Genomic DNA, 17,788 nt, shown 5'->3' with positions numbered 1-17,788 from the left:
ACCCCGTCTCTACTAAAAAAAACCCCGTTTCTACTAAACGGGGTTTTAGTAGAAACCCCGTCTCTACTAAAAATAGAAAAAAAAAAAATAGCCAGGCAGTAGTGGTGCATGTCTGTAATCCCAGCTACTCGGGAGGCTGAGGAAGGAGAATTGCTTGAACCCGGGAGGCAGAGGTTGCAATGAGCCAAGATTGCACCACTGCACTCCAGTCTGGGTGACAGAGTGAGACCTGTCTCAAAAAATAAATAAACTCAAGCTATGAGGGGGGTGTGTGTGTGTGTGTGTGTGTGTGTGTGTTTATTGGTTTTCTTAATTTTTTTTTTTTTGCAAAGTTAAATAAAAGTGTCATCCTTGTGCAGAGGCCATGCTAATCTCTGCATCATTCCAGTTTTAGTATATGTGCTGCCAAAGCGAGCATTCTGTATATGTGTGTATAAATATTTTATATATATAATATGTATATGTATAATTAGCACAAAATAATTAGTACAATGTCTAATTTAATATTCTTTGGCCTTTAGTTTACTAAGAGAGTACTTTCATCAATTATTGGTTATAAATTAATACAGTAAATCCTATTGTAATTATAATTGTAATTGTAATTATAACTGAGATCCAAATAAATCAGTCATATGAAATGGAAGGTTACAATTTCTTGCAGGGTTAACAACAAAATGACCATTGTGGGTCAGTCTAGCTAGCTGTGAGGAATTTGGGAGCTAACTGCCCTATCTAAATTCATGCCAGGTCAGGCACAGCAGTTCAGGCTTGTAATCTCAGCACTTTGGGAGGCTGAGGCGGGTGGATCGCTTGAGCCCAGGGGTCTAAGACCAGCCTGGGCAGCATAACAATACCCTGTCTCTACCAAAAAATTTTTAAATAAATCAAAAATAAATTCATGCCAGACTCAGTTGTGATTTGATGCCACCTGGTGGTGGTGGTCGGCCCCAAGTTAAATATTAATGGGGACAATTTTTTTTTTTTTGGAGACGGAATTTCACTCTTGTTACCCAACCTGGAGTGCAATGGCGTGATCCCGGCTCACTGCAACCTCCACCTCCCAGGTTCAAGCGATTCTTCTGCCTCAGCCTCCCAAGTAGCTGGGATTACAGGCACGCACCACCAAGCTTGGCTAATTTTGTGGGGTTTTTTTAGTAGAGACAGGGTTTCTCCATGTTGGTCAGGCTAGTCTCAAACTCCCGAACTCAGGTGATCTACCCACCTCGGCCTCCCAAAGGGCTGGGATTACAGGCATGAGCCACCGCACCTGGCTAAACATCCTGTTTTCTTTGTTGTTGTTTTTGAATCAGAGTCTTGTTCTGTCACCAGGCTGGAGTGCAGTGGTGCGATCTCGGCTCACTGCAACCTCCGCCTACCCAGTTCAAGCGATTCTTCTGTCTCAGCCTCCAGAGTAGCTAGGACTACAGGCACACACCACCATGCCCAGGTAATTTTGTATTTTTAGTAGCGACAGGGTTTCACCATATTGGCCAGGCTGGTCTTGAACTCCTGACCTTGTGATCTGCTCTCCTCGGCCTCCCAAACTGCTGAGATTATAGGTGTGAGCCACCATGCCCGGCCTACTGGGGACAATTCTGAGTGCAGAAGCTGCAGGATAACATTAGCGATTTGGGAAATGTCCCAGTTAGTTGGCCAGATTCAGCTGGGAGAATAATTAGGACGAGATTTACCCCTCACCTCTTCTCTCTCTGAAACAAGTTCACATGCCTTTTCCCTATCTTTATGGCCTTGGCCTCCTCTCTAAGACCTCCCTCTACCTGCCCTGTTTAGGGGCTAGGCAGGGAATGGGAGCCAGCTGTCAATTCTGCATCATATCTAAAATTATATTTTTGGCCGGGCACGGTGGCTCACGCCTGTAATCCCAGCACTTTGGGAGGCCAAGGGGGGCAGATCACCTGAGGTTAGGAGTTCAAGACCAGCTTGGCCAAAATGGTGAAACCTGTCTCTACTAAAAAAACAAAAATTAGCTAGGCATGGTGCTGGGCACCTGCAGTCCCAGCTACTGGGGAGGCTGATGCAGGAGAATCACTTGAACCCAGGAGGCGGAGGTTATAGGGAGCCGAGATTGCACCACTGCTCTCCAGTCTGGCGACAGAGCAAGACTCCATCTCAAAAGAAAAAAAACAAATTTTATTTTTGGCCGGGTACAGTAGCTCATGCGTGTAATCCCAGCACTTTGAAAGGCCAAGGTAGGGGTATCACTTGAACCCAGGAGTTTGAGACCAGCCTGGGCAACATAGTGAGACTGTCTCTACAAAAAATCAAAAAATTAGCCAGGCATGGCGGTGTGTGCCTATAGTCCCAGCTACTCAGGAGGCTGAGGTGGGAGTATCATTTGAGCCCAGGAGGTGAAGCTGTAGTGAGCCATGATCACACCACCATACTCCAGCCTGGGTGACAGAGCAAGACACGGTCTCAAAAATAAATAAATAAAATGAAATCATATTTTTGATGAGGGCATTATCATGGGGTTTTATTGTGCTTATCAAGGAGCTCTTGAATGCTTAGAATATAGTAGCACTGTATTTTTTATTTTAGAGCTTTTGTGTACTCCATTTGTTTTGGTTGGCTATAAGAAGCCATTATTGGGCCGAGCACAGTGGCCAACACTTTGAAAGGCCAAGTTGGGCGGATCATTTGAGGGCAGGGGTTCAAGACCAGCCTGGCCAACATGATGAAACCCCGTCTCTACTAAAAATACAAAAATTAGCTGGGCATGGTGGCACGCTCCTGTAGTCCCAGCTACTCAGGAGGCTGAGGCAGGAGGAACACTTAAGCCCAGGAGACAGAGATTGCAGTGAGCCAAGATTACGCCACTGCACTCCAGTCTGGGCGACAGAGCAAGACTCTGTCTAAAAAAAAAAAAAAAAAAAAAGCCATTGTTAGGCTAAGACTAATTGAAATTCAAGCAGAAAAAAAAAAAAGGTAAACATGCAAAGGTGAGAAATCCATCCAGAGGCTGTTTACCCTATTGCATCAATGCCATGAAATTTTATTTTATTTTATTTATTTTTTTTTGAGATGGAGTCTCTCTCTGTCGCCCAGGCTGGAGTGCAGTGGCATGATCCCGGCTCACTGCAAGCTCCGCCTCCCAGGTTCACACCATTCTCCTGCCTCAGCCTCCCGAGTAGCTGAGACTAATAGGCGCCTGCCACCACACCTGGCTAATTTTTTATATGTTTTTAGTAGAGACGGGGTTTCACCATGTTAGCCAGGATGGTCTTGATCTCCTGACCTCGTGATCTGCCCACCTTGGCCTCCCAAAGTGCTGGGATTACAGGCGTGAGTCACCGTGCCCGGCAATGCCATGAAATTTTAAATTAACAGTTGCCTCTTGTGGATGATCTCTTGTTACCCAGCAGGATCAGAACTCTTCGTTTGTTTTATTCCTTGTTAAATTCTTTGCTGTGTTAAGGCAGTTTCTCCTTCTTTGCATATACAAACATGTGACCCTGCTCTAGTATATTAGGCATTGCCCCTGAACAGCTTAAAACTGGGCTTCTTGGAAGCCATGTGGGGGTATAAGACTGTAGAGGGCAATGGTCAGTTACTGGTTATGTTTCTGTCCCTATCCCTCTTCCTGGCATCTTCCCAATTCCGAGTTACCACTGTATTACTGAGTCCGAGATAAGCAGTCTGAGAGACCAGCATTTGCGGCCAGCAGCAGAGCTCCAGTTCTTGGATCAGGGTCTTCTTGGTTTGTGGCTGCCAGTGGTCACATTTGTCTTCGATGAAATAGTCAAGCACCAGGCTGATTGCCAGGTTTCAGAAGATGTGTGGCTCAGACTGGAAGAAGGCCTCAATCTGTTCACCACCTGTCTCTCTGGCCTTACCTGTTACTTCTCCCTCTAACTACAGTGCTCTCTGTTTTTCACTCAGAAGGGCTATTTATAGGTTTCCAAATATGGCCTGCAGTTTCCTGCCTCAGCTGCTGCCCGCAATTTTCCCTGCCCAGAGTGCCCTTCGCCCAGCCTTCATGGGTCAGAATCCTGCTCAGCCCCTCCTCCATGGAATCTTCCTGATCTCTTTGAGCTCCTTGCTCCCCCGCACTCTGGGCCTCTCCTTTCTGCTTTACATCACAGTTTCCGGGGCTCACGATTGATTCCTCGGTTAGATGATAGTTCTATGAGGACAGGGACCTTGCTTATCCATTTCTTAGTCCCCAAAGGACTCAAGGCTTTCAATCAGAGGTGCTCAATTCTTTGTTTGTTTATTTGTTTGTTTGAGACTGAGTTTCACTCTGTCACCAGGCTGGAGTTCAGGGATGCGATCTCGGCTCACTGCAACTTCTGCCTCCCAGGTTCAAACAATTCTCCTGCCTCAGCCTCCTGAGTAGCTGGGACTACAGGAGCACGCCACCATGCCCGGCTAATTTTTGTATTTTCAGTAGAGACAGGGTTTCACCATGTTGGCCAGCATGGTCTCGATCTCTTGACCTCGTGATCTGCCTGCCTTGGCCTCCCAAAGTGCTGGGATTACAGGCATGAGCCACTGCACCCAACCCTGTGGTTTTTTTTTTTTTTTTTTTTTGTAGCTACAATGACTAAACATTTTTAATTTTGGAAGCTTTTTTCACATTAAAGCTACCCAAGCCATCTTCCAAAGAGGTCTCATCTTCTCCTGCCAGCTGCATGAATTCTCAGCCCTATATTTAGGTACTAAGTGGTCTTGCTCACCTCTCTCTACTGCTGATATGAGCCGAATTCCATCACTGCAAAAATTATCTCAGAACATAGGCATTGGGAAAGCACATTCACTTATTCCAGCCTAGAGTAGAGAACTCTTTGATACCTGAAGTAATTTACTTACTTATCTAATGTCAAGTCCTAATAAATGCAGCTTCCATAAGTATAACATTTACTTACTGAAAGCTAGGATCATAATATGCCGGAAGAATTTACAGGCTATAGATGCTGCACTTTTTATGTGTCTTAATTGTTTTAATATTAAATGTTATTAAATCATTGGCTATCAACTTGGATGTAATATATTTTGTTATATATGCCATTTGAAAACTTTGTTATCTCCACAAAGAGAATTCAGGAAATACCAAATGTTTGAGTCTTAGAGGAGTAAAACATATGTGCCATGTCTGTCCCAATACTCGCTATGAGTTTCACCACACATATGCCACTGGTTTCTGCTGATTCTATTACTTTCTTCTAAAAAATGGTTTTCATTTTATTAGGGGAAAGGAACCCAAATCTTCTGTCATTTCTAATGTAAAATATTCAGAGGGAAGAAGTAGGTAAATGTGGGTTATTGGTTATTGAATTCCTCTGTCCCCCTTCCCTCAAACTCACACACTCGGGTTGCACAGGGCAATTATTCCTGTTTGCTCCATGCTGATTATATAGGTCAAGGGGGTAATAAGGTCGTTTATTTGAAGGATTTTCATCTGGTGGATTTCTAATATTCTTGCCCCACTCCTGACCACCTAAGTCAGTATCACACTGAGACCAGCATCTCTCTCCCACCACCAAAGAAAATGATGAAACAAAGGTAATTTGAGCCTGAACTTTCTGCTCCTAAATTTATCATCTTCCCAGAGCATAGGGGTTGTGTTGCTTTAGTCCTTCAAATCAGCAATGGCTCAGTAATAACTAGTATCATATGTTTATTATTAACTCGGCAGATAAACCTTCAAGGTGCTAAACTCCTTTTGGTGTATTAAATGTATAACATTTTTTTCAAAAACCTTATTATTCAATTCAGAAATTGCCCCTGGCAGAATCAATAAACAAGGTACTATACTAGTAAAAGTGAACATTCTAATATATTATTAAGACAGTGGCGACCTGGTGTGGTGGCTCATGCCTGTAATCCCAGCACTTCGGGAGACTTAGGCAGAAGGATTGCTTGAGCCCAGGAATTTGAGGCTACAAGTGAGCTATAATCACTCCAGTATGGATGACAGAGACCCTCACCATTAAGAAATATAAAATATAAAAAGGGAAGATGCTGTGTTACATACATATATTTTACTGTAAAAATTGAATATTTGATTATTTGGCTGAATTGGGATTTCCTTACTACAATATTTTCGTAAATAATCTCAGATCAAATATGTTCAGTAAGTATGTGGGGCAGGATAATCTTTTTTTTTTTTTTTTTGAGATGGAGTTTTGCTCTTGTTGCTCAGGCTGGAATGCAATGGCGTGATCTTGGCTCACTCCAACCTCCGCCTCCCGGTTTCAAGCAATTCTCCTGCTTCAGCCTCCCAAGTAGCTGGGATTACAGGTGTGAGCCACCACGCCTGGCCTGAGGTATTAATCTATACTTTTGTTCTGGTATTTTCCCCTTTCCCTTTCCTGCCTCTGACCAGATACTTCCAATCTGTTTATTTTCTTAGTGAAGAGATGAGATGGGGCAGAAAGCTGAAATAAGCTCAAGCTTATTTTTCTCCCCCAAGCTTTTGTTTCTAAAAGCTTAAGCCCCAGCAAGGGAAAGGATTTGAGCCACAGGCAAAAGCAGAATTCTTCTGGGTGGGGTGGTGGGCTGAGCAGGTGGTGGGCTTTCCAGAGACCTAGCTAGCAGGCAGGACTGTTCCTGGAGATGTGGCTGAGGGCCGCAGCCAGGTCCCAAGTCACAAACGAGTTACTTTGGGCTGGATCTGACCTGCAGATGGGATTTGGCCATGTGAATTTCAGTCATTCAGGATTTTAAAACTAGGCAATTTCACATAAAAATTCAGATTTTGTGGCCGGGCGCGGTGGCTTACGCCTGTAATCCCAGCGCTTTGGGAGGCCGAGGCGGGTGGATCACGAGGTCAGGAGATCGAGACCATCCTGGCTAACACGGTGAAACCCCGTCTCTACGAAAAACACAAAAAATTAGCCGGGCGTGGTGGCGGGCTCCTGTTGTCCCAGCTACTTGGAAGGCTGAGGCAGGAGAATGGCGTGAACCCGGGAGGCGGAGCTTGCAGTGAGCCGAGATCGCACCACTGCCCTCCAGACTGGGAGAGAGAGCGAGACTCCGCCTCAAAAAAAAAAAAAAATCAGATTTTGTCTTCTCTTTAAGAATTGGCAAATTTGACCATACTGGGTTCAGTCCGTCATGGCATCAAATGGCTGCCTGTATTGGAGAAGAAATGGGTGGTTTAGCTTGTCACAGTGTCCACCAGTCCCTGCTGTGTCCCAATGCTGAGGCCAAAGATTAGTTGCCATTCATGACACTGGCACTGCTGTTTTCTAGGCAATAGAGGAATGTCCCTCTTTACCCAAGATTTTTCCCATAAATGGGGAAACAATAGAGAGACTAAAGATGGCTCATGTTGAAAGAAACATGGAGCTAGCGTATTTCTTTGTAAAGGTGAAGAGCGTTCTCACGTATTTAGTAGGCAAACTACCTGGTTCACTTATGAACTCTCCTTGCCTGCTCCCTGCAGGCATTTGCATCACATATCCCTGCTCTAGGCAGCCTTGCAAAGAGATGACCTTGTCCCTGGTTGGGCATGGCAGAGCCGCTGCCTGCAGGGCATGGTGAGCCAGTGATGGATGGCTCTGCAAGAACCCCAGTGGACAGATGCCCGGAGGGCAGAGGCCCCTGGAAGTCCCTGGGGTTGGGGAGGACTCCAAAAGGATAGGACTCAGAATAGCAAGTAAATTATAAAAATAGCTATTTCATACACACAGATCTATGAACCGAGACTTGCACACACTGCCTCTGCTGTCCACTGACCTGGTTGTTTAGCCCAGGGATCTAGGGCCACCAACATGCACATGTGATGGAGGCTACTAGAACCTGTCCTAGAGAAGGACGGGACTCATCGCGCCTTTCCTTAAGGGGCGGGGCAGGGGGTGCAGAGAATGTGGCTTAAGGACCATCACATTTTAGAAATGTTTCAGAATTATAGAGCGGTATTTGTGTCACTTTTTGGGTGGGGTGTGAATGTAAAGTGGTCCTCTACAGGTGTCTTCCAGAAAGCATTGAGGCTGTTCATGTGAACCTTTGTGCTTTTGCTGCTAAACTAGAAGCATAGTTTTGGATTGGTTTATTGTTTTGTCTTCTATGAATAGAAAAAAATAATCAAAACTGTTTTAATGTGTCTGGGCTAATTATTTCAACATTTCACTTGCCTCATGTATGACCAATAAAAATAAGAGCTACCGTTTACTGAACTAACCTTATGACAGCCACTGTACCAGTACTAACCAGAAGTGCCTTGTATACACCTACCCTGTAGGATGGGGTTGCCCCGTGGTGTGAATAAGGAAATGGAAACTAAAAGCTTCTGTAGTTTCCTAAGGTCACTTACTTAGTACATGCTGGAGCCAGGATTCAAATCTGCATCTGTGTGATTTCATACCTCCTGCACTGCACGGCTAACGAGTGCAACAGCATTTGCCACCACCTGCTGTCTGCAGGACAACAGAGCTGGAGAGAGGGGAAAATGAATGCAAATGGCCAAGTCCACAAGGAGCAGCAAAGTTAAATTAGTCACATTCTTGTTTTCTTTTGAGACAGGGTCTCGCTCTGTCACCCAGCCTGGAGTGCAGTGGCACAATCACAGCTCACTGCAGCATCAACCTCCCAGGCTCAATTGATTCTCTTACCTCAGCCTCCTCAGTAGCTGGGACTACAGGCTCAGGCCACCACGCCCAGCTAATTCTTGTATTTTTTGTAGAGACGGTGTTTTGCCATGTTGCCCAGGTTGTAGTCACATTCTGGTAGTCACTTTCTTTAAGGGAAAAAAAAAGGAAGGCAGAGGCCGGGTGCAGTGTCTCACACGTGTAATCCCAGCACTTTTGGAGGCCAAGGTGGGCAGATCATGAGGTCAGGAGTTCAAAACCAGTCTGGCCAACATGGTGAAACCCCTGTGTCTACTAAAAATACAAAAATTAGCCGGGCACAGTGGCACGTGCCTATAGTCCCAGCTACTCAGGAGGTTGAGGCAGGAGAATCGCTTGAACCCGGGAGGCCAGGTTGCAGTGAGCCAAGATCGTGCTACCGCACTCCAGCCTGGGCAACAGAGAGAGATTCCGTATCAAAAAAAAAAATTAAAAATAAAAAAATAAACAAAAGGGAAGGCAGAATCCTCCAGTGCCTGGCATTTAAGCTTGCAATAATTATGTGTTAAATGAAGGAATGAATTACAAACCATGTAATCTCTCTGGACATTTATTGTTGTCATCTGTGTAAAAATGGGGTGGACCTGTTCCACCTCTCTCAGGCCTGTCATCAAGGGCAAACAGGAAACCAAAATTTGAAAACACTATTTTTATGGACTAAATGATTGTGTCCTTCATATGTTCCCCCTATTCTCCAGTGTGATGGTATTTGGAGTTACAGCTTTGGGCGGTAATTAGGATTCGATGAGATTATAAGGATAGGGCTCTCATGATGGGATTAATGCCCTTCATAAGAGATAACAGCCGGGCGCAGTGGCTCACGCCTGTAATCCCAGCACTTTGGGAAGCCGAGGCGGGCGGATCACCTGAGGTCAGGAGTTCAAGACCAGCCTCAACATGGAGAAACCCCGTCTCTACTAAAAATACAAAATTAGCCGGGCATGGTGGTGCATGCCTGTAATCCCAGCTACTGGGGAGGCTGAGGCAGGAGAATTGCTTGAACCTGGGAGGCGGAGGTTGCGGTGATCCGAGATCACGCCATTGCACTCCAGCCTAGGCAACAAGAGCGAAATTCCATCTCAAAAAAAAAAAAAAAAAGAAAAAAACAAGAGATAGTAGAGTAGCCTGCTCCTGCCCTCAGGGATGCTAGAGTGGGGAAGATCAGAGCAAGAAGGCTGCCATTTGCAAACCAGGAAAACAGCCCTCACTAGAAAGAGACCATGCTGGCACCCTGATCTTGGACTTTAGACTCCAGAACTGTGAGAAAATAAATTTCTCTTGCTCAGCCCACCCAGTCTATGGTATTTTATTATGGTAGCCCAAGAAGACCAAGGCAACTATGGAAAGAGGACGGCTGAAGAGAACTTTATGGCTATGTGATACTATTATTATTACTGCAGAGTTAGTGTAGTGTGGGCCTGCCATGAATTGGCTGCCTACCTTTGGATCACTGCCTTAAAACGGTATGTGTGATGCAGGGACAATTCCAGAAGGCACCATTCATTATAGACTAGGGATGGTTCTGCTCTCAACCTTTAACCCTTCAGTTTTTTATCTATACAGAAAGGAAAGGGAATGGAACACTGGTGTCTAACAACTCAGGTATTCTTTCAGCAAGTATTTGTTGAGAGTCGACTATGTCCCAGGCACAGTGCTAGGCACTTGGAGGTATAGTGATCAGACACGGTCCTGCCCTCCAGGAGTTTACATTCTAGCTAGGGAAACAGACGAAGAAAAAGGCAATTACAGCTGCTTGTGAGCAGGGTCTCTAGTAGTCTGCTTGGGCTGTTATAAAATACAACTGGGTGGCTTAGACAATATAATTTTTTCTTTCTGAGTCAGCTTCCTAGGGAATATAAATTTTTCTCATGGTTCTGGAGGCTGGAAGTCCAAGGTGCTGACAGGTTTGGTCTCTCCTGAGGCCTCTCTCCTTGGCTTGCAGGTGGCTACTTTCTCTCTGTGTCCTCACGCAGCCTTTCCTCACATGCACTCCTTGTCTCTAGTCTCATTTCCTTTTTTTTTGAGACGCAGTCTCACTCTATCACCCAGGATGGAGTGCAGTGGCATGATCTCCGCTCACTGCAACCTCCACCTCCTGGGTTCAATCGATTCTTGTATCTCAGCCTCCTGAGTAGCTGGGACTACAGGCATGTGCCACCACGCCCAGCGAATTTTTTGTATTTTTAGTAGAGATGGGGTTTCACCATGTTGGCCAGGCTGGTCTTGAACTCCTGACCTCAGGTGATCCACCTGCCTCCGCCTCCCAAAGTGCTGGGATTATAGGTGTGAGCCACCTCGCCCGGCCTTTTTTTTTTTCTTTCTTTTTTTGAGACGAAGTCTCTCTCTCTGTCACCCAATCTGGAGTGCAGTGGCGCAATCTCGGCTCACTGCAACCTCCACCTCCCGGGTTCAAGTGATTCTCCTGCCTCAGCCTCCCAAGTAGTTGGGATTACGGGCACCTGCCACCGTGCCCAGCTAATTTTTGTACTGTTAGTAGAGACGGGGTTTTGCCATGTTGTCCAGGCTGGTGTCAAATTCCTGACCTCAAGTGATCCGCCCGCTGCTTCGGCTGCCCAAAGTGTTGGGATTACAGGCATGAGCCAGCGTGCTGGTCTCTTCCCCTTCTTGTAAGGATGCCAGCCCTATCAGATTAAGGCCCCACCCTTGACCTCAAATAACCTCAGTTACCTGCTAAGGGCCTTATCTTCAAATATTCTCATTCCAAAGTGTACTGGGGGTTAGGACTTCAACATATGGATTTGGAGGGGAACCAACTCAGTTCATAGGAGTCTCCATGGACAGAGCAAGCTGCCATGGGGGTGCAGCACAGGGCCTCCATCCCAGGCTTGGGACACATGTGGCCTCTTGAGGAAGGGACTTAAGCTGCCTAAGGACTAAAGGGTGAGGTTGGGGGCAGGGCCTGATAATTTAAATGAATACAATTCTGTGAAGCACAGACCTTATAGATTTCACTCCTTGACGGTTTCTTTCTTTTTTTTTTTTTTTTTTTTTTTTTTTTGCCTGTTTGATGTTTGGTAGTAATAATTTAGAAAGTGGAACCCAAAACCATAATTCTAAAGCCCAATAGCCTTGAGCAAGCCACCCTTTCTTTTTGCCCCAGTTTCCTTAGCGGTAGAACCAGGCAGTTGACACCTATTATTTCTCAGGCCCTCATGTGTAATGACTAGAGGGAAATCCTTACATATATTCACAGTGACCTCTTAAAATACCGTGTTGACACTTCAGCAACTTGAAAAAAGGAGGCTTTGGATTCTGTAACCAAGTGCCATATTTACTTTGGGGTCATTTTTACCAGGATTTCTTCTCTTCCTTTTATTTCAGCCATAAAATTATGTAGAGAAAGGGGGGGATTGGTGACGTGTTTAAGTCTAGGCTCTTACACCAGCTGAGCATGACTTAGCTACTCTAGAGTGACTTCTGCTCTTTAGGCCATGGTAATGACTGTTTTTAGTCTGTGTGAGGGGAAAGGGCTACAAAGACGTAGATACTCATTATGGGGGAAAACAACCAAACATCACACACATGTATAACGTGAAAAAGTCCCTCTCTTCTCTCTATCCGATATACCTCGCGGTCACCTCTATGACCTCTGTATTTCCCAGAACATTTTTTTTTTTCTTTTTGACACAGGGTCTCACTATGTTGCTCAGGCTGGTCCAGAACTCCTGAGCTCAAGTGATCCCCCTGCCTTGGCCTCCCAAAGTACTGGGATTACAGGCTTGAGCCACCACACCTGGCCTCCCGGACCTTTTCCATTCACAACCCAGATACATACGTGATGTTCTTCTTGACAAAAATAAGATTACATTATATATAAATCTGTCGGCCAGGCACGGTGGCTCAGACCTGTAATCCCAGCACTTTGGGAGGCCGAGGCGGGCAGATCACGAGGTCAAGAGATCGAGACCACCCTGGCCAACATGGTAAAAGCCCGTCTCTACTAAAAATACAAAAATTAGCTGGGTTTGGTAGTGTGTGCCTGTAGTCCCAGCTACTTGGGAGGTTGAGGCAGGAGAATCGCTTGAACCCGGGAGGCGGAGGTTGCAGTGAGCCAAGATCGCGCCACTGCACTCCAGCCTGGCGACAGAGCGAGACTGCGTCTCAAAAAAAAAAAATCTGTCATTTTCTTCTTTTACTCAACAATATGTCATCAACATTCTTCCATATCCATAAAAAAGAACACCTCCCTTTCCTCTTTCTAGTTTACAGGCCATGCATGATGGCTCACACCTGTAATCCCAACACTGTGAGAGGCCAAGGCAAGGAGGATCACTTGAGCCCAGGAGTTTGAGACCAGCCTGGGCAACACAGCAAGACCCTGTCTCTATAAAAAGAGAAAAAAAAATGAGTCCGCCCTGGTGATTTGGCCTTGTAGTCTCAGCTACCTGAGAGGGTGAGGTGGGAAGATGGCTTGAGCCTTGGAGTTTGAGGCTGCAATGAGCCATGATCATACCACTGCACACTGGACTGGGTGATAGAATGAAACTCTGTATTTAAAAAAAAAAAAAAGCTTACATAGTATGTCATGGAAGGTATTTTTAGCTATTTTCCAAGTTCTCTTCGATTTCTTTGCTATCACAAATGATCCTGCAACGAACATATTTGTCTATGTAGACCTTTTTTTTTTTTTTTTTTGAGATGGAGTTTCACTCTTGTTGCCCAGGCCGGAGTGCAATGGCACGATCTTAGGTCACCGCAACCTCCGTCTCCCGGGTTCAGGCTATTCTCCTGCCTCAGCCTCCCGAGTAGCTGGGATTACAGGCATGCGCCACCACGCCTGGCTAATTTTGTATTTTTAGTATAGATGGGGTTTCTCCTTGTTGGTCAGGCTCATCTCGAACTCCCGACCTCAGGTGATCTGCCTACCTCGGCCTCCCAAGGTGCTGGGATTACAGCTGTGAGCCACCACACCCAGCGCAAATAAGACTAATCTTAACATATATCCTATCATTTAGAGTCTTTGTTTTGTTTTGTTTTTCTCAGAGATAGGGTCTTTCTCTGTCGTCCAGGCTGGAGTGCCGGGATTCCATCATGGCTCACTGCAGCCTCAAACTCCTGGGCTCAAGCAATCCTCCCTTCTCAGCCTCCTGAGTAGCTAGGACTACAGGCATGTGCCACCACACCTGACTAATTTTTTGATTTTTTTTTTTTTTTTTTGAGACAGAGTCTTGCTTTGTCGCCCAGGCTGGAGGGCAGTGGTGTGATCTTGGCTCACTGCAACTTCTGCCTCCTGGGTTCAAGAGATTCTCCTGCCTCAGCCTCCTAAGTAGCTGGGGTTACAGGTGACTACTACCCCACCTGGCTAATTTTTGTACTTTTGGTAGAGACAGGGTTTCACCATGTTGGCCAGGCTGGTCTTGAACTCCTGACCTCAGGTGATCCACCCACCTCGGCCTCCCAAAGTGCTGGGGTTACAGGCATAAGCCACTGCGCTCAGCCATTTTTTGATTTTTTTTGTAGAGACAGGGTCTCATTATGTTGACCAGGCTGCTCAAACTGCTGTGCTCAAGCAGTCCTCTTGCCTGGGACTCCCAAAGTATTGGGATTACAGGCTTCAACCACCACACTCCACAGCATACAGTAATTTTTTTAAAATTGGTCAATTGCTAGAGCAGTATGTGTCTCCTTTTTCATTTCTAATGAGCTCTGATTGGCTGGGAAGCCAGCCAACACTTGCTCCCTGCTTCCTGCCTGCCCCTGCAGCTGTGTGATCAGTTGGGGAAGGCCTAAGTACAGGCCCTTGGGCACCCCTCTGGGTGCTGGGGCCCTAGTGGCTACAGTGCCTCTAGCCAGCAGCGTGGGCTCAGAATGAGTTGCCGTTCAGATTGGCATTTGTTTTCTCAAGGGCTTGAAATTGAGAGTGGGACTGCAGCAGTTTTCACTCTCCCTCATGTTTCTTTTTGCAGAATCCTATTGTGCAAACCAGATATTCAACAAAAATCAGATCCTGATGGCTGTACTGGGTGCTTACAATCTCAAGCTGCTATAAATTATTAAATAGTTCTCCTACACATAAGGAAAATGTCCAGCACAAATTGTCTGTAACTTTTCATTTGAAACCTCATTTTTTTCATGTTGGGTCATGGTATATCACTTACCTGCTCCACATTCCAATAAAGATAGTTGTTGGCCGGGCGTGGTGGCTCACGTCTATAATTCTAGCACTTTGGGAGGCTGAGGCGGTCGGATCACAAGGTTAGGAGATCGAGACCATCCTGGCCAAGATGGTGAAACCCGGTCTGTACTAAAAATACAAAAATTAGCTGGGCGTGGTGGCACATGCCTGTAATTCCAGCTACTCAGGAGGCTGAGGCAGGAGAATCGCTTGAACCAGGGAGTCGGAGGTTGCAGTGAGCTGAGATCGCGCCACTGCACTCCAGCCTGGGCGACAGAGCGAGACTCCGTCTCAAAAAAAAAAAAAAAAAAAAGATAGTTGTTTATTTTTTCAGCACACAGGGGTTAACCATTGAGGCATGTCTTTCTGTAGGTCCTATTTAATATAGTACTACCTCTCACGCCCCTGTTTTTCACCCTCTTACTTTTCTGTTGTGAGTATTCACAGAATCTGGATCTGCCAGCTACTTCTGTTTGAAGTTGAAGACTTGGCGAAATTATACATCCAGCAGGCAAGAAATAAAGTGGAAATGTCTCACAAGTAACAGTGAAATCTGTTGCGTTGTTTTAAGTCTTTACTGAAAAAAAGTCCTACTAAATATTGTCTTGCCAACTATAAATATATTTTAGCAATGATAAAAGCCTTTAGAGTAACAGTTATCTGAAACCTAATGTCTGTCTGTCTGCCACTCTTAATTATATATATTTACATTTTATATCCCAATCTTCTTTTATATCCCATTTTATATAACGCAATTTTCCATTTGAGTTTTTACATTTAGTGTCTCAGTGTTTTATATGGTCAAGTAGCCAGTTTTCCCCCTGCTACATTTTACTCAGGTACAAATGAAAATGAGTTGACTAGATCGATGGCAGCAGCTCTAATTTGAAATCTTGAAAAATGCATTTTTTATTAAGCAATTTCAAATTGAGCAGACCTCTAAAAACCAGGTTGTTATTTTTCCGGGTCTTTACACACACATCCGTATGAACCATGAACTGTTACTGCACTTTCAAAACTATTATGTCTTGAAGTTTCCAAAATTATATACAACTATTCCAATACATTTTTCACCTTTATGCGTTATTTTCCTTCTCCATATAAAAAAGAAAACCACATAGAAAACCATTTGAAGGAAGGTGATTTCCTTTCTTGGATAGCAATGACTTCTATTTCTATTAATAACTTATTTGAAACAAGCCACTTACTTTGTTAAGTAGATAGATCCATTTATGCAAATATAAGATACATACTTTTACAATAATATTCAAGGTCCGTTTGAGTTTCCTGAAAGTTGTTTTGAAAAGTCAGCTATATCAGTTCAATTATTGTATTTGACAGAAATCTTTTGTTTCAAGCAATATGAACAGAGAAATGTTAATTTCTATCTCTATTGTCTTATTATTTAATTTCTCCTTAAAAACCTGAGTTGTCACTGTGAAAGATTGGTTAAATATATATCCCCTCACTACACACGTTTCATCTAGTCCTCTTTCCAAAAATTTAACAAGGTCGTTTTACATTCTTAAAGCACCACAGCAAAGTGATTTAAATGCAAAATGTGCTTAAGTGCTACTTAACTATTCCTAACTCTTCTACTGGGAAATCCTAGAAAACTGAACTAATGAAATGCAACTTCTACTTTAAAAATTCTAATTATAACTGTCACATTAAATTGAAGGTGAGAATAAAACTGGTGTATCTGTTAACTAAGTCAAGCGATGTACTGTGTCGTACGTGTTATTTAATGTGCAAGTGTAAAAGTCAAGTTCTCTGCAGAAATCGAAGTGCCTCCCCTCAGTCTTCTGCGAATGTATAAATTAACCATTCTCCCCCAAGCAGTCCTCCTCCCTTCCTCCCTCCGCCCTATTTTAAATGTAGATAGGGCGACCTAAGTCTTTTGAATTTGAAGGGCTGCTATCTCGGCCCCATTCTTTTCATCATCCTGTTTTCAATGACACTGAGCACGTATAGATTCTTCTATAAAAGCACCCCCTGGATGCAGGGCTTGGTTCTTCAGGCTGCTTGCTTAATTTTGCATAGCAATTAGTACTGACTTCACTAAACCAGTAATCCAAATACAGCTCGAGAATGTTCCACGTAGTTCCTCAAACTTAACCCTGTGCCTTTTGATTTCAAGCCCGAAGGGGGGGAACTTGCATAATTACTAAATTCCCAATTGGAGTGGTCTGAAGGAGGGTACGGTAAACCCAAACTATACGTTAATTCAAACCCTCGCCGCGACTGGGCAGCAAGGAGCCAACATATGCCTTCTTTTAAAAATCTATTCTACCTATTCACTGACCGCGCAGGGCCGTGCCACATGGTCCTCCCTTGCAGCCAGTCAGCTGTGAGCAGCAGATGGGATCATTTGCATTTTTCTTTTTATACTTTCTTTGATCGGCAAATTAAAGGATTTTTCTTAAATTTACATTCTCATTGTTTGCCTAAAATACAAACGTGGCTAAACTGTTGAATTGGGCTTCCCTGACTCTCACCCAGCACCTCCCCCTCCCCCTACCCAGCCACTGAGACTTGAGAAAATACCCGAGGGGTAGATTTCGTATTTATCAACTGGGAATCTACAGTCCAAGAGTTAGGAGTAGACAGAATCAGCCTTTATTGAGTTGGTGACTCGTGTTTTTCTATTTTAGGCGCTCGGCGCAGACAGCCCGTGGGTTTGTGTTTGTGGGGTGTGTGTCTGTGAGCGCGGGCGCTTCCGAAGCTCTCGCTCCGCAGCCTCACACCCCAGAACTTCGGGTTGCAAGAGCAGATTTTAGCTCTGAGGCTCACAACAGAGGGCGGCCACCGTGCAGGGGGAGTGGCCAGAGCCAGCTTTTCCCAGCGCCAGGGTCGCTCTCCCGGGTCCCGCCGGACTCCATGCCGCCCCGCGGGGCCGCAGGAGCCACCCGGGCCCTCGCGCCCCAAGGTCTTTGTGCCGGTGGCGGCGCGGGAAGACCGGCCCCGGGGGCCTGGGCTGCGGCCCAAAGGCCAAAAATGCGGGAGAGGCGTGGGCGCGAGGCGGGACAAGCTCCGCACAGTCGCCGTCCCGCAAGGGGCA

General features: G+C 45.2%; 1 pseudogene, besides 5 other annotated features; it reads right to left on the bottom strand.

Annotated features, from left to right (window-relative positions):
* On the bottom strand, positions 319 to 418 carry RNU6-1299P (RNA, U6 small nuclear 1299, pseudogene; annotated as a pseudogene).
* Positions 3,672 to 3,761: an enhancer, noted in NCBI's record as "active region_24902". NCBI's record gives its function as "activates an Ori minimal core promoter by ATAC-STARR-seq in GM12878 lymphoblastoid cells {active_cell/tissue: GM12878}" and the evidence as "EXISTENCE:reporter gene assay evidence [ECO:0000049][PMID:35858748]".
* Positions 8,258 to 8,337: an enhancer, noted in NCBI's record as "active region_24901". NCBI's record gives its function as "activates an Ori minimal core promoter by ATAC-STARR-seq in GM12878 lymphoblastoid cells {active_cell/tissue: GM12878}" and the evidence as "EXISTENCE:reporter gene assay evidence [ECO:0000049][PMID:35858748]".
* Positions 8,348 to 8,437: an enhancer, noted in NCBI's record as "active region_24900". NCBI's record gives its function as "activates an Ori minimal core promoter by ATAC-STARR-seq in GM12878 lymphoblastoid cells {active_cell/tissue: GM12878}" and the evidence as "EXISTENCE:reporter gene assay evidence [ECO:0000049][PMID:35858748]".
* Positions 15,959 to 16,724: an enhancer, noted in NCBI's record as "OCT4-NANOG-H3K27ac hESC enhancer chr6:107437969-107438734 (GRCh37/hg19 assembly coordinates)". NCBI's record gives its function as "activates a minimal SCP1, AML or CMV promoter by ChIP-STARR-seq in primed H9 embryonic stem cells {active_cell/tissue: H9 hESC(primed)}" and the evidence as "EXISTENCE:reporter gene assay evidence [ECO:0000049][PMID:30033119]".
* Positions 16,725 to 17,488: an enhancer, noted in NCBI's record as "OCT4-NANOG-H3K27ac-H3K4me1 hESC enhancer chr6:107437205-107437968 (GRCh37/hg19 assembly coordinates)". NCBI's record gives its function as "activates a minimal SCP1, AML or CMV promoter by ChIP-STARR-seq in primed H9 embryonic stem cells {active_cell/tissue: H9 hESC(primed)}" and the evidence as "EXISTENCE:reporter gene assay evidence [ECO:0000049][PMID:30033119]".

This window comes from Homo sapiens, chromosome 6, assembly GCF_000001405.40.
Source record: "Homo sapiens chromosome 6, GRCh38.p14 Primary Assembly".
NCBI lineage: Eukaryota > Metazoa > Chordata > Mammalia > Primates > Hominidae > Homo > Homo sapiens.
The sequence above is the reverse complement of the archived record's forward strand: the minus strand, read 5'-3'. Positions and strand labels throughout refer to the sequence as shown.